This window comes from Homo sapiens, chromosome 2 (assembly GCF_000001405.40).
Source record: "Homo sapiens chromosome 2, GRCh38.p14 Primary Assembly".
Taxonomy (NCBI): domain Eukaryota; kingdom Metazoa; phylum Chordata; class Mammalia; order Primates; family Hominidae; genus Homo; species Homo sapiens.
Genome location: NC_000002.12, coordinates 42,852,155 through 42,868,509, shown reverse-complemented (window position 1 = coordinate 42,868,509; position 16,355 = coordinate 42,852,155). Strand labels below are relative to the sequence as shown.

Below are 16,355 nucleotides of genomic sequence, written 5' to 3'. Positions count from 1 at the left end.
TCCAATATGTATCTAATTAATTGAATGAATGAATCCTGGGTTCTGCCTCAGTGGGTTTCTCCCTGTACCCAACCAGGTAATTGATGTGTTTGCCAGCCAGCCACTCTTCTCCCTCTCCTAATGATATGGTTTGGATATTCATTCCCTCCAAATCTGATGTTGAAATGTAATCCCCAGTGTTGGAGGCAGGCCCTGTGGATTGGACCATGGCCGTGGTCCCTCGGGAATGGTTTAGCACCATCCTCTTGGTGATAAGTGAGCTCTCACTAAGTGAGTTCACATGAGATCTGGTTTAAAAGTCTAGGATGTACCCTCACTAGCTGTCTTGCTCCCTCTCTGGCCATGTGATACATCAGCTTCCCCCTTCACCTTCTGCCATGATCGAAAGTTCCCTGAGACCTCACCAGAAGCTGAGCAGATGCTGGTGCCATGCTTGTACGGCCTGCAGAACCATGAGCCAAGGAAACCTCTTTTCTTTATAAATTACTCAGCCTTGGACAGCAACACAAAAACAGCCCAATACACCTAATGAATTCCCAGCCCTCCATGAAGATTCTCTAACTACAAGATCAGCTTTCCTGGATCCTCCCTGGTGGCCCTCTACCCAGCCCTTATAACACAGACTAAGAGAGGCGTCTGCAGCCTCCAGTTTTATCTCACACCTGGTCTTTGCATGAGCATGTTTCAGTAACACATGTGGGCACACACACAGGTAGTGAGTAGCCACGCAGTAGTTAGTTCAGAAAACGGTCTTATTGTAGAGGGAAATAGAGGGAAAATTCTTTGATATAATAATATTCATCTCAGAAGTTATGGCTCTCCTATCAAAATCCAAAGCTGCCAGCACAACTGAACCTACCACAGCGGTGGCAGAAAGAAGGCTCTTGGCACTGTAGACCTATTTGGCAGAATGTACACTGGCTGAAAGCCCCACCCTCTGTGTTTCAGTCTTCAGACAAGCCTGCGGTGTAGCAAAAGGCAAAGAAATAGAGCTGTGAAAACATGCCTGTGAACCCTGTATTCAAGTTTCACCTTGGGAAATTGCAACATAATAACCAAGAGTTCCTGGGCCAAGTGCCCTAAGAAGAAAGGGCGCAGATGGCAGGGAACCACACGGGACCCAAACGGTTTGGAACAAGAGGAGGCTCGGAAGAAAGGCAGAACCTGGCCACTGCCAGAGACCTAGGCTAGCACATGGACTGGAGCATCGCTTCCTCAGTCCCCTGGGGAGGAGGGATTATGACCACCAGACTCATATCAGACACTGACTGAGATTGCTGTGGATATGTTTGTGCCTGTTTAGGAAACTGTATACAGTCTGTTCTGTGATATAGGTTAGGTTCCTCTCAAGGAATCCTTTTTGCCACTGTTGTTAAATTCTGAGTATAAAGACGCCCCTCTCAGATACTGTTGAGGAGGCACGGATAAACAGTGAGCCCCCTGACCATCTCAAGTGAAGATCCTGAGTCCAGAGTGGAACCAGAACCCTCCTACTCCCATCCAGGGTCTCTCTGGTGTGCCACACAACAGACGCACTGTGGGTTTTGTTTCTTCTCTGAAACTGGTCTGTCTCTGTTCCTAGACAAAGATAAAAACGCCCTGAAAATTTATCTGCAGATCATTAGAAGGGAAAAAACAGACTCACAGGATTCTGAACTCCATTTTACAAATGGCCAGAAAAGTGTCAGTGGAAATGAATAATTATTTCTGGCGAAGAGGACAGGATGGATTTCTCTGGGCATGTCCAGAGCGATTCCCTGGTGTTCTTGAGCGATGATGGCCTGGCCTGACAGAGCAGGGCTCCTCTCCTCCCTGCCCCATCTCTGGAGGAAGATCGGGGTCCCACACCTCAGAGGATTACCACCGTGGCCTCTGCTCTTTGTGGCCAGCTGAACGGATGACAAACATCATCCAGGCCTCCCCTGGCAGCCCTTGCAGGGCAGCGAGGACTCTGGACGGCCCCACCTGAACCCAGGCCTCCAGCAACATCCTCCCCTCCTGGCCCCGGAGAGCAGAGAGGGCGCCAAGGGGAAGCAGAAGCAGGCTTTGGTTTTTCTGCAATAGCTTTGCCTTTTTGTTTCTCAAGAAGAAAATATTCAGCCCTGCTCCCATGGGGGAAAACAGGGAGGACAGGACTGAAGGCTATTTTTGAGATGCTGCCTCCCCCAAAGGAAGGGTGGGAATGGTGTGAAGAGAGTCCTGCCCTCATTTCCTGGAATAGAGCATGTGGGTCAATAGTTTGCAGTTTGCAACTATTTTTCAATCACATTATCTCACTTTTGGTCCCCACAATAACCCGGTTAGATAAGGGTAGAAAGGGGTTTGTCTTAGTCAGTTCTGGCTGCTATAACAAAAATACCATAGCCTGGGTGGCTTCAACAACAAACATTAATTTCTCCTGGTGCTGGAGGCCAGAAGTCCAGGATCAGGGTGCCAGCATGATGGTTCTGGTAAGAGCTCTCTTCCGGGTTGCAGGCCGCTGCCTTCTCCTTGTATCCTCCTGTGGCGGGAACTCTCTTGTGTCTGTGTCTTTTTATATGGCACTAATGTCATTCACGAGGGCTCCACCCTCAGCATGTGATTACCTCCTAAGGACCACACTTCCTAATATCATCACATTGGGTGTTAGAATTTCAACCTAGGAATTTGGGGCAGACACAAACTTTCAGCCCATAGGAGGATTATTATCCCGATTTTACTAATGAGGAAACTGAGGTTCAGTGGCAATAACCAATAAGGAGAAGGTGCTAAGGAGAGTGTCCTAAGGCAGGCCCTCTAATTCCATGTCTCCTGCCCTGTCCGCCACCTCCTAGGCCTTCTCTAGGCTTTGCCCTCTCTGCATGCCCCTGCCTAGGCTGAGTGTCCAATGTCTGTTCCAGCTCTGCCAACAGCTGGCTGCATGGCCTTAGCTACATCCCACGTTCTCTCTGGGCCTCAGTTTCTTCATTTGCAAATGGTGATATTAGGTTGATGCAAAAGTAATTGTGGTTTTTGCCCATTAAAGTAGGGGCAAAAACCGCAATTACTTTTGCATCAACCTATATATCTATATAGGTGCCTCTATCAACTGATGGAAGAATCAAATGGCTTTGCAGATTCTGACATGCTCTACCAATTCTGGGGCTGCCCAGTATTACCTTCACAATTGGAGAGAGCAGAAAGACTTCTTGCTTCAATTTATCTCCCTCTCCTCCCTGCCATTGTCAATTCAGCTTCTCGTGAGTCTTTATCTTCACTAAAGGGCAGACCCTGTTGGGCGATGTGGCTCATGCTTGTAATCCCAGCACTTTGCAAGTGGAGGCAGAAGGATTGCTTGAGGCCAGGAATTTGAGACCGGCCTGGACAACATGGGGAGATCCCCATCTCTACAGATAATTTTTAAATTAGCTGAGCATGGTGGTGTGCACCTGTGATTCCAGCTACTTGGGAGGCTGAGGCGGGAGGATGGCCTGAGCCTGAGAGGTCGAGGCTGCAGTGAACCAAGATTGTGCCACTGCTCTCCAGCTTGGGCAACAGAGCAAGACCTATCTCAAAAAAATAACAATAAATAAATAAATAAATAAATAGAGGGCAGAGCCCCCTGGGCTAGGACACATGTCTAAACATTATCAGTTATGAGCGCCTCTTAGTAAATGAGTTTATCAGCCCCCCAGGGCTCAGGAACGGGTGGGGGAAAGTTACAGCAGAAGGTGTCCAAGAGCCCGCCCCAATGTATCACACAAGACATGATCAAAATTGGTGTCTCCAGGCTCTGCGAGCTTTCCTTTCAGTTCTGCACTCTGAGGGTTCTGAGAATGGGGCAGACAGAAATGAAAAGAGCTGGGACTCATTAACCCCTAGGTCTTCATGGCTTTAATATGGGACCTTCCTGGGAGGAGCCTGGACACATCTTCAAGACTCAAAAGTCATAGAGTCCTCATGGTGGAATTTTAGACACCTTGAAAGGAGGGTGGCGTGACATTGTGGGGCTGAAGTGATAAGAAAAAAGGTCTTCCCAGTCCCCTTTGATGGCCACCTGTACCCGCTGTAAAATTGGCCCAGTCCCATAGCCCCAGGACCAGGGAACTCTGAAAGCAGGATAGCCTGTAAAGTAACAAAACGTAGAGGGGTGAGAATGTGCTTGCAGGGCTGGGGGAAGGTGCGCCCAGTTCCTTTAGATGTGGGAGCAAGGGCCAGGCACCTGGGCAGATGGCCCCCCCTTGATGAACCCACTGAGGCCCTAACCAAGCCCGACCCACCTGAATGGGGAAGAAATAAACGGTGACAAGTGTGAAAAAACCATTTTATGGTTCTTTAATAACTGTTTTTGCTAGGTTCTGTTTATTCCTTTCAAAGTATGTTATTTAAAATGTTCTGCAATTAAAAAAAAAAGAAACAGGATGGTCTTTTTAAAAACAGGTTTGAGATAAGGAAAAAATTGATTCTATCAGCTTGGCAAAAACACCTCCTGCAGCACAAAAACTCCACGAACGTCTGTGTGTGCCTTCACTGGGAACGAGGAGAGGGAGTCAGAGGGCAGCGAGGCCGGGCAGCGAGGGAGGCAGAGCCCCTCTGTTGGTGTGGGGTGGAGGCAGCCTTTTATCCTGCGCCTCCGGTGCTGTGGCTGGGAAGGCAAGGTACTCATGCCACCCTCCAAGGTGAAGAGAAGACCCACCTGCTTTTCTCTGCCATCACCAGATCCTCCCAGGCACTCTCCCCACAGTCGGTCCAGCCAGGCACACTCGGCCTGATCTAGTGATTCAAGCTGTCTTTCCAGGACTTGGCCTCTGCAGGTAAGTCCTTAGTCTTCTGGCCCCTACCCCACTTCTCGAGGTGTCTGGGGACTCAAGGAGAGCAAAGGGGGCTGATATGAGCCCACATTGGAGGAGGGCAGCCTAGCCCTGCGGTAGGTTCCATTCTTATTCTCACCGACTCTCTCGCCCTTCCTGAAAGTGGGTCATGCATCCCCACTCTAGCCATGCGACCTCCAATGACATCCGTGGAAGGCGCATCCTTCCCCACACGACTGAACTGGCCACATGCCCAGCCTCGGCCAATGGCAGGTGAGAGCATAGGACATAGGCCGTGTCCCAGCAGATGCACTAAAACACAAGGCTGGCCTCTGCCCACTCTCCTACTCTTTTCCCCTGCCCTGGGAAGGGCAGGACCCAGATGGGAACTGCTCCTTCAGTCATGGGGAGCAGAGCCCCCTCCCACTACAGCCACCAACATGTAAGATGAGTGAGAAATAAACTGCTATGTTTTAGGACATAGCAATACAGGGCCATTTGTGACTGCAGCCTCACCTAGCAAAAGCTGCATGACATGGGACCTTGTTCTCCTCCTAATCCTCCATCTCCAAAGCAGTGTCTCTTGTCTACTTGCCTGTGGTCCACAGCCAGAGAACCCCATCCTGCTTTCTCTGTCTTGGGCAGAGGCCTCACGTCACCTACAGGGGCCCTCAGGTCTGGCTGTGCCTCGCTTGTGATGCTCAGTGTAGGTAGGTGGTCAGTCCCGGGATGCTTAGGTATGGGTCCTGTGACCCTGCTGCTCCAGCCCCGAGAGGAAAGCTTCTCAGCCCAACTCGCAGCCAATTCCCAGCCTCCCGGGGGCTCACATGGACATTCCAGAGCCCATCCACATGCAGACACCCAGGGCAGCTGGAGAACGCGAACCTCAGGGCCCGCCTCGGCCCAACCCCACTGAGCTGCTGCCTACAATCTGAGTTGGCCACCGACAGTGGGTGCTGGAGGGCTGACCTCAGGGTGGCTTTCTCCAGGCCCCCCGTGAGATAGAACAAGTCCCCCCTGCCCTCAGTGGCCCCTCAACCAGACCAACACACCTCCTTCCTACCTGGGTTGTGGTGAACTCTGTTCTCTAAATGACCAGGCCTGGCCCTCAAGATGTTACAGGAAGATTTCTGTTAGCAAATCCCCTGCTCTTTCCACAAAGCCTGAGTTTCCCCACCAGTATCTCAATAGTGAGGTCAAGGAAGTCAGCTCTGAGCCTAAAGATGGCTACCTTCCTTTCCTTTCCTGTGGCAGTCAGTCTCATGGCTCAGCCTCTGAGGTGGAAGGCTGCAAGGAAACAGGATTTAGGAAACAGTAAAAAGAAATCCATTCAAATGGTTTAGATAAGCCAGGCGCAGTGGCTCATGACTGTAATCCCAGCACTTTGGGAGGCTGAGGAGGGAGGATTACTTGAGCCCGAGTTCAAGACCAGCCTAGGCAACATAGCGAGACCTCATCTGTACAAAAAAAAAAAAAAAGAACACAAAAATTAGCTGAGTGTGGTGACGCATGCCTGTAGTACCAGCTACTCGGGAGGCTGAGGTGGGAGGATCACCTGAACCTGGGAGGTGGAGGCTGCAGTGAGCCATGATCACACCATTGCACTCCAGCCTGGGTGACAGAACAAGACTCTGTCTCAAAAAAAAAAAAAAAAAAAGGTTAAAATGATACATGTTACTGATGCTAAGTGTTACTGTGTGTTTTTTCACCACAAGGGGTTTTGGGGGGTTTTTTTGGGCAGCGGGGGGTGGGGGAGATGGGGTATGAGAAAGAGCTTGTTCAAGTAATTAAATATAAGGATGAGGCTAGGCAGGGTGGGGGGTGGGGACACGACCCACAGAAAGCACAAGTCCCTTGGGACCCTCCTCCTCTGCCCGCATTTCAGAGGCTACAGCCAAATCTGGAACCAGGTCCCAGCGACCACTAGCTCCTGTGGGGAGGAGTGGGTACAGGTTTCTCCAGGGCCCTGGACCCAGGGACATAGAGGAGTTCTCGAACCCACAGCCCTACCTGCCCTGTCTGCAGACAGGCACCAACCAGGGCTGGGGCCAATCAAGAGAAATCTAGAGGAAAACACAAAGGAAAACTAAAAAAGACACAGCAGAATAGAACAAGGCATCTCACTAACACTGCCAGAGAGAGGAGAGTTCGAGGGCACAGATGAAGAAGACAGGGGCAGCCCTGCAGGGACATCCCAGGAGGCCAAGGGTAGGAGGCTGGACAGGGTAGACCCTCCAAGCCCAGGTCCAGAAGGGTATTCCCTGCCTCCCCAACCGAGGACTCCAGGCACCCATCCCTGGATCCTGCAAGGCCAAGGCAGGGTCCAGGTGCATGCTGCCAACCATAAGTTTTTAAAAATATTTTAATTTAAATTTTTTAGATTTTAAATTTTAATTTTTTAGTCAAATTTGTTGAAAAAAATAGAAAATTCAAATCCACATGTGTTGCCAATTAATTTTCCCCTTACTTCACCTTCTACAGAAGGGCTATGAAGTAGGGTGGGCTGGCACCACTCAGTGCCTACAACCCACTTCTCCTAATTTTGCTCCTTGTGATATTTCTGTTTTCTCCTTCTTCGGGATTCTTAGATCAGTTGCCGTCCTCGTCCTCCTAAGGAAGGAAGGATGTTTCACCACCACCCAACCTGCTGGAATGGGGCTTAAGAGTAGCCCCATCCTTCTCATGTGACCTTCTCGCCCCAGACCCCAATACAATCCTCTCACTTTCTTCCTGCCATAGGTACACAGAACTCAAGAGCCTTGATATATGCACGATATGTTCAATGGCATTCAGGAATTGGAATGACTGCATAGAACAGGAAACCCAGATCACAGAGGCATAAACAAAAGAGGAACTCATTTTTCTGTCACATGATGAAAAGGTCAAAGGCTGGAAATTCAGGGCAGCCCAGCATCTCCACGATGTTGTCCAGATCCTGGGCTCATCCTGGCCTTCTCTTCTGCTACTATAGGGTATGACTTTTGAACTCATGCTCACAAAATGGTTGCTGAAGTTACCACCATCACATCCATAGTCCAGGCAAGAGGAAAGGTTAATGGTGCTGGTGTGTGCACTAGCTGAATGTCCACCTTTTAAGGAACTTTGCTAGAAGCTCAACCCAACCACTCATGCTTCACCTCATTATCCAGAACTGAATTATGTGGCTATCCTTAGCTTCAAGATGAGACTAGAAAATGAAGTATTTTAGCTGGGCCAATTGCCAACCCTAACGAGTTGAGATTCTATATAGCAGAGGAGAGTTGAGAGTTGGTCAGGAATTGGCAGCCCTGTCACATATGCCTAATTCCAGTGCTGTTATTGGAAGTACCAAGGCTGGCAGCTTCCACACTGGGTCTTCAGTCGCTCATGTCTTCTGTGTCTGCCTTCATTCCTCTACTCAGATGGCAAACCTCTTTGTAAACAGAGAAAACATGTTCATCATTTTCATTACTCCCTCTTCCCAACCCCAACCTTCCAATCCTACTGTACCAGCTCAATAAATGCTTACTTTAGAAAGAAAAAGCAGTAACACTCACTATTAACCATATATGCCTTGGGACAAACTTTCCATTTCTTATTTGAATCACTGTTTTTATCGTGTATTGCATTGTCATTTTCCATTTCGTGAGCTTAAGTAGCAACTCCTCAAGTCAGCTATAAATTCCTAACAGTCTAGAAGTGCCCAATCCAGTGACTTTCACACGGTGAATGCTTTCATGACTTGTAGAGTTTATTTGGCCTGAGTTCTAGTCATTATCAGTAACCACAACAATAGTAATTTCATACCTTTATGATGCTTCGAAGTTTACACAACTTCCTTTATACACATTCTCTCACTTGGTCTTTTAAGTAACTCTTTTAAGTAAGGCTGCTGTAATTATCCCTTTTTCACAGACAATGAAATGGAGGCTAAGAGAAGGTATATTGCTTGCCCAGAGGCATGAAGTCAGTGTTTGAACTGGAACTTAAATACAGGTCTTTGACTTCAAATCCAGCAGTTTTCCATCAAACTTGAGGCCTCGATTCTCTCACTTTCAAAAATGAAGAAATTAATTTAGATTATTTCAATGCAGCACTGTCCATTAGAAATAGAATATGAGACACATATAATTTAAACTTTTCTAGTAGTCACATTTAAAAAGGAAAAAGAGACAGGCGAAATGAATTTTAATAAACTTTTATTTAACTCAACTCAAAATATTTCAACATGCAATCTTCATATTAATAAGACTTTTTTTGCTTTTGAAAGCTAATTTTTTTATTTATGTCTTTAAGTCATAGGAACTTCTAAAGAATGAAAGCCAATGTGTTTATGACACTTTCAGCACATCACAATTTAACCACTTTTCAGGTGCTCAAAAGCCACACATGGCTAGTGGTCACCATATTGGAAAGCTCAGCTGTAATGTTTGAAGGGTAAATTTAACTTTAAAACAAGCTCCTATATCTAAGATTTCGTGATCAAATTATTTTAGAAATTATCTAAAAGAGTTATTTTCTGTACATTCTTGCAATAAAGGAGAACTGCCTGTTCAACAACTATCCCCCTGTAGAAAACTGGCTTTGCCTAGATCCATCACAAAGCACCACTGCCATCTGGTGGTAGACTCTTGAATTGCCAGCAAATTCCCCAAGAGGAAATAATCAGGCTCTCGGAATGAGTTTATCAAAGCAGTAGAAACTGACTCCACATAATCCAGGAGAATTTGTTGAAGAATGCACAATGCTGGGCCCTGCTGAATCAAAATCTCCAGGACAAATCCCAAACACCCAGATTTTCAGTAAATGTCCCCAGTGGTCATTCACACTGAAACTTGAGAATGGTTGATCTAAAGGACATGCCTATATAATACAACCATAGAAAATTCAGTGACAGTAAATGTCAGAAGAGGACTCATTCTTTCCTGATACTGTTCTGATATTTGTCAGACTGCTAATTTCTTAGTTTCTACATAGAAAAAAAAACCCCACCCCCAATATATACACACACACACACACAGTTGGAAAGAATCCATAATCCCATCACTTTTTTCAAAACTTAAAGGAAGAAAGAAGTCTATGTGGCCACTCCATCTCCGACCCCCCCACCCCCAACACACACACACACCCCTAAGACACAACTCTGTAACAGTTACATATAGCTCAGGCCCTCACAGCCGTGTCCCCACTCCCAGCCTCTGCTCTCACCCTGCTCCCTCCACACCCAAGTTCCAGCCAGGCCAGTGCCTTCACAGCTCTCCCCCTTCACCTCACTCCCCTTCTGAGACTTTGCAGAGCTGTCCCCTCCATCTGGAACAGCAGTCACCATCCTACCCTCCAGCCCCCATGACTTGTCCCTCATAATGCAGCTCAGGCATCAGCTACTCAGGAAGCCCCTTGGGGAGCCCTCTAGACTGTGCTGGGTCCCCCTCCTTCCCCCCGAAGTGCCCCATATGGTAGCTGTATTGTCTGACTTCTCCACACAACTGTAAGCTCCTTATGGGGCAGGGCTGCGTCTCTTGTCTCTGTATCTCTGCCACCTAGAAAAAACTCTGCCACAAAGCAGGCATTGTTAAGAATTTGCTGAGTGAATAAATGTTTTCTTTTCCTTTCTTTTCTTTTCTTCTTTTTTGAGACAGGGTCTTGCTCGGTCTCTCAGGCTGGAGTGCAGTGGCACGATCATGGCTCACTGCAGCCCTGAACTCCTGGGCTCAAGCGATCCTCCCACCTCAGCCTCCTGATTAGCTGGGATTAGCATGCATCACCACACTCGGCTATTTCTTTTTTATTTTTCTTTATTACTTTTGTTTTATTTTATAGAGATGGGGCTCTCTGTGTTGTCCAGGCTGGTCTCGAACGTGTGGGCTCAAGCCATCTTCCTGCCTCCGCCTCCCAAACTGCTGGGATTGCAGGTGTGAGCCACCACGCCCAGCCATAAATAAATGTTTTCAAAAGCATCAAGTAGTCCCTCTGATTTTTAAATGATAATGCTAGTTCTGATGAGTTGACGACACTAAGCAGTGTGGACCTTTACTGGAGTCTCAGTAATGTCAGCTTCCAGCTCTGAGGACGGAGCTGCAGACGTTATGACGGCTGACCAGAAGCGTTTGTGTCGGGGACTAGGGAGGGCAGTGATTTGGGCACCATGAACACAGTGAGACACGGACGGGTGCAGGAAGAGGGCAGTAACAGAGTAACCCGGGAATGCCGTCCCCACCTCCCAGGAAGGGATCCATTTCCCCAGAGGACAGAGGCCTGCTGCATCTCGCCCAGCTAATCTGACAGAAGCCAGCTGCAGCACTAGGCCTGCCCCCGGGAAGGCATGCTGAGGCCGGGAACCACATGCCACTGTTTGCCCCTGGGGGACAGGGGCACAGGGAGAGGGTAATTGACTTGTCTCCCAAGTTTATTTATTAATTCCTAGCTGCACCATTTGATGTGGTTTCCAGGAGGCACGCCGTTGAAATGTGCCGCCCTTCCCCATCCTGGCTGCAGTGGCCCCAGGGAGATGGGTGAAGCTCAGAGCCAGCCCACAAGTCAGACCAGGTGCAGGCAGGGGACTAGGAAGGGTGCCCACCATGCAGGGAGGCTTGCCGGCCCCAGCGCAGGCAGCAGGCCATGGCATGGGGTAGGGTGCAAGGCAACAGTGGACGGTGTGCTGGGGAGCCTGAGACGATGCGCCTCGGGACAAGTGGCCGCAGCTCTCTGCTTCAGCTTCCCCAGCTGTGAAAAGGAAAAATGAGTGGCGGCAGCTGCCACTTCGTAGAGCTGAGTGAGAATACCAACGTGCTGAGGGTAGGAAGTGCTGTTACAAGTCAGGGGCACCCCGCAACTGTCGAATGTTCCAGACGGGCAAGTGTGTATCTCTAAGTGCCGGGTCTAGGCCTAACTTTGCTCCTCATTTTATGTTTTCCGAATTTCCCGTGCTTCCTACAATTAGCATGAATAAGCTGTATAACCAGGGAAACATTAGACTAAAGAGAATGGGAAGCGTGTGGCCCAGAGATGGAGCCACGTCTCAACAAGCAGGGTGGTTACAGGGTGGAGGGAGAAAGGGGGTGATCCCTCCAACCCAGGCTTGAGCGAGGAAGGACACCTCAGATGCAGGGAGAGGGTGGAGCCTGAAGGGTAAAGGGAGGGGGCGATGACTTGAATGAAGGTAGCCATAGACCCCAAACAGAGGAAATGGGAGCCAGGCCCCAAGATTCTCTATCCAAGGCAGTGGCTCTCCTGGCTTTCAGCCTTTGAAGGGTCAGCACAAGTCACCTTCATTTAGCTGGTGTGCTCCCCACTGTGTGGCTCCAATCCCCTGGACTCTCTCCAGAGACTCTATCCGCTTCCTAGGACGGATGATTGAGCAGGGCGTGACCGCCCAGGAGGTGGGAGGTGAGTGCAGAGGTCAGGGGTTCTCCATGCTCCGCCATACCCACCGTCCACGGGCCCCACAACTCTGTATGTGTGTGCAGACCCTGGTCCCAAGGAAGTGGCCATGGCTTCTTCCAAGAGGCACATGCCCGTCCAGGCCCCAGGCCAGCGTCCCCCTCCCCTCACCCCTCACCCTGTGGCTCCCCTGCTCACTCCCATCGACACTCTAGAGAAGAAGCTACTGACAAAAAAATGTTTAAAGATGTCACAAAGTTAGCAGCAAATCAAAGTCCTCGGAGCCCTGAAACTGACATGGTAGAGATGTAGGCCACCTGCCCTTTGAGATTCTGGGAGAATTGGCCGCACTCCGATCGCTTACACACTTTTCCGATATGTCTTTGCCTCGGAGCACCAGTTCCTACTGCATTTGTTCAGTGGGCAGAGAGTGTCCCGGCCCCACATTCACGGGCTAGAATAATCCACCCCTTTCCTTCACTCCTTTGCCACGAGACCACTCACACAAGGCCTGTGTGTGGCCAGGCCAGAGGGCTTTGCCACAGGCCTAACCAGTGTCTACCCACTGAGGAAGGCCAGGCAGCCCTCCCCAGTGGATGCGGGCCTTTGTGAGGACAGTTTCCGTGGGCCGGGCCACCAATCTGGAGGGCCCCGAGCTGTGTCCACATTCACATTTCTTCACTCAGGCCAGGCTGTGTGCGCACACACACCACACTGTCACACACCCAGGCTGGACAGGGTCCCCCACTCTCTTGCAAGAACTGGACAGAACTCACACTTGTGTTCACACCCAGCTGGGCCACACAGGCATTCACACGCTCACCTGGACTGGCTAAGTTCCTATTCAAGGGGTTTCTGCCTCTGCCCACCAGGATAATCCCCACACCAGGGAGAGATGCCACTTTTTGTGTCAGGGAATAAGATACCCCGAAGCCCACTGGAGAGGCCAGGGCCACTCTGGGTAGGGTGTGAATGGGGGCTGGGACCCAGGCTAGCATAGGGCCTGGCTTCTGTCCCCCAGGTCCATCTGGGCCAGTTGGCCTGTGGGCAGGGAGCTGTCTTAGGCTGACACGGTGCTCTTAGGTCAGGGGAACCCAAACACAGAAAGGAGGCCTCAAGAATGTCCCAAATGTGAAATGGATTCAGTTCTGCCTGCTTTACTCCCCAGGCCTCAGCCATTTCCCCACTCAAACCTTCTCCCCCGCGCCAAACACCCCTCCTCCAGCCTCTTCCACTCTCATGACCTCCGTCCCAGCTGCCATGATCCCACCAGATTATGTGGCCAGCCTCTCATCCTAAAACGCCTACTTCATCAGGTAACTCCCCTTTCAAGAACCTTCAAGAGCTCCCCTGCCCCCCACCCCACCACCCCCATTGTGTAAGGAGGACCTCTGGCTGGCACTCAAACCCCTCAGGATGAACCGGAGCTGACTTTCCTGCCTTAGCCGCCTCTTTTCCCCTCCTCTGGACCCGGGTCCACACTGTCATTCCATAGAGGCGTTGCTCTTTTCCAGCTCTGCATCTTTAGCAGAACCTCCTGTCCTCTTCCTTCTCCCGGAATGTCCTCTTTTCCTTCAGATCCTCCCCACCCTGTAGGGCCCAGCTAAACCTCCACCTCTTCCAAGAAGCCTTCCCTGATGACACAGCCCCCAGGGAACGCTCCTCGCTGCCTCCTCTCTGTACTCTGTGCTTTGCCTCCCATGGCACCTCATCTCCTGCCGGGGACTTTGCTCTCCACTGCCAGGACCGTCTCCTCTTCCCTGCTTGTCCTCCCCTGAGCACAGAGCTGGACACACAGGCCCCGGCTCCTGGAGGAAGGTGTTATGGGCCTCCCTCGCCCCTAGCCTACTCCAGCCACCCAGTTTGTGTGATTGTCTCTCCCTGGATGCTGTAGGTCCCCAGCTGGCCCAGCTCCCACCCCCACGCCGACCCGGTGCAGACGCAGCTGCTGCCCCAGGAGTGCTGAGGCTCCCAGTCAGGCTGGGGCCTGCTCCGCTGGGCGGGAACCTCGCACATTCCTTCAGAATTAAACAAGGGCCCGCTGGCTCCAGGCTCCCCAGGATGAGGATCATCCGGTTTGCTTTCTCCCTCTCCAGGCAGCAAGGCCCACTTGGTTCCAAAGGAAAGTTCTCTGGGCAATGACCTCAACAGCCGCAGGGAAGGGTGAAGGGTCACATCTGTGGCCATTTGGAAACCCGGGTCAAGGCCTGAGACTCTGCCCTGGGCCCCCTCATGCCTGGTGTTCATTCTACCATCCATCTCCCATACTCACACACATGTGCACAGGCACAACACACACACACGCAGACACATGTAAACACACATGCACAAATGTAAGCGTGTACCCCCACACATAAATGTGTGTATACACACAACATACACATGTAAACACACAAAGACATGCACACAAGTGTAAATACAGACACACGCAGACACACATGCAAAGCACACACATACATACACAAGCACACACTTGCAAACACACGCATGCACACACATACCCCACTGCTGCCCTTGACTGACCCTGAGGTGGGCTGGGTGGCCTGGCCACAATGACAGGGCTGAGTCTCTGGCAAAAAGCCCACCCCTCCTTTCCCCAGAGCAGTTCGGGAAGAGGGCAGAGCTGTGATTTGAAGCACGGCAGGTCATTTTTCACAGTTCACCTTCAAACAACCTCGGCCCAAGAGACAGAGTACTTTTTAGCAAAGACAAAAAAAAAAAGATTTCCCATCACACTGCCCCCAGCCCACGGCTGCACGTAGTGAGAGAAACGGCCAAGTGGAGTGGGAGGGAGGGTGCAAGGTCAGGCTGAGCTGCCACACACCCCTCGGCTTCTGGAATAGGCCATAGTTGCCATGTCTGCTGGGTGGAAGGCAATGTGGAAGGGCTTCAAAATGTATCCCCCAAAAATGTGCTCAGTGCTTGGCTCCAGTGGTACGCCCTAAACCTCTCCTTGCTCTGTGGATCCCTCTCACTCTGCCTCCACTTATCCTAACCTCCCTCGCACTAGCTGGCCCATGAGTTTGAGGATATCAGGGACCCAGGTGGTCCCGCGCACAGAGCAATGAGGAAAGCAACGAGATAGCGCTCTCCAGCAGACATAGATGGGGCCTCATGGGACAGTCTCAGGCAGTCACGCCATCTCTAGAGGTCCACAGAGTCCCCAGTTCCTGGGTGGTGGGAACAGAGATGGTTTAAGACCACTCCCATATTTCCTCCAGAGACTGGGCAGCCTTTGAGAGTAGATTCTAGCAATGTTTGAAGAAACAACAGAAGCCATAGTCCCATGCTCCAGCCCAGTCTACGAGGTTGTTGCAGTCACCTTCCTAAGACTTGGTCCATGAAACTAAGTCACATGATCCTGCTCAGATTCAGTGAGCGTGGCCAAATGTATCACATGGCCTACTCCACGCCAGCCTAAGCCCTGGACAGTCATGTGGCCTGGCCACTGCCAGTCCAATAACATGGCGCAGAAAAAGAGGTTGCCTTTCCAAGGTACTTGATTTCCATTGGTCGGAAAGTTAGAATATACTGACAGTGTTAGAATAAGTACTTCACTGCCACCTGCAGAAAATATGACATAAGAGATACAGAAACTGCCCACCTTTGGAGGCAATGAAATTATATAAAAAAATGAAGATTTCCAAATAATAAAGCGTCCATGATCCAAGCAGCGCCCCCTCGCCGTGCCCTTGTGCTCTCTGCGGCAGCCTTTCATGAGGCCTCCGTCGCCCCTGCTCTGGGCTGAACCGTGTCCCCTAAGAGCCATATTATTGAAGTCCTAATCCCAGCACATCAGAATGAAACTGTATTTGGAAATAGGGCCATTAAAAAGGTATTAAGTTAAAATGGGGCTGTTAGGGGCTGGGCGCGGTGACTCACACCTGTAATCCCAGCACTCTGGGAGGCCAAAGTAGGAGGATCACTTGAGCCCAGGAGTTCAAGACCAGCCTGGGCAACCTAGCAAGACCCCTGTCTCTACAAAAATAAATAAGTAGCCGGCTGTGGTGACACACACCTGTGGTCCCAGCTACTCGGGAAACTAACATGAATGGATCGCTCTAACCCAGGAGTTCAAAGCTGCAGTGAGCCATGCTTGTGCCACTGCACTCCAGCCTGGGCAACAGAATGAGACCCTGTCTCAAAAAAAAAAAGTGAGGGGGGGCTTGTTAGGGTGGACACTAATCCAGTCTGCTTGGTGTCCTTGTAAGGAGAGCAGCTCAGGAC

At 50.4% G+C, this 16,355-nt stretch overlaps 2 annotated features.

Moving 5' to 3' along the window:
- Window positions 10,688–11,275: an enhancer, noted in NCBI's record as "H3K4me1 hESC enhancer chr2:43084375-43084962 (GRCh37/hg19 assembly coordinates)". NCBI's record gives its function as "activates a minimal SCP1, AML or CMV promoter by ChIP-STARR-seq in naive H9 embryonic stem cells {active_cell/tissue: H9 hESC(naive)}" and the evidence as "EXISTENCE:reporter gene assay evidence [ECO:0000049][PMID:30033119]".
- Window positions 13,593–14,425: an enhancer, noted in NCBI's record as "H3K4me1 hESC enhancer chr2:43081225-43082057 (GRCh37/hg19 assembly coordinates)". NCBI's record gives its function as "activates a minimal SCP1, AML or CMV promoter by ChIP-STARR-seq in primed H9 embryonic stem cells {active_cell/tissue: H9 hESC(primed)}" and the evidence as "EXISTENCE:reporter gene assay evidence [ECO:0000049][PMID:30033119]".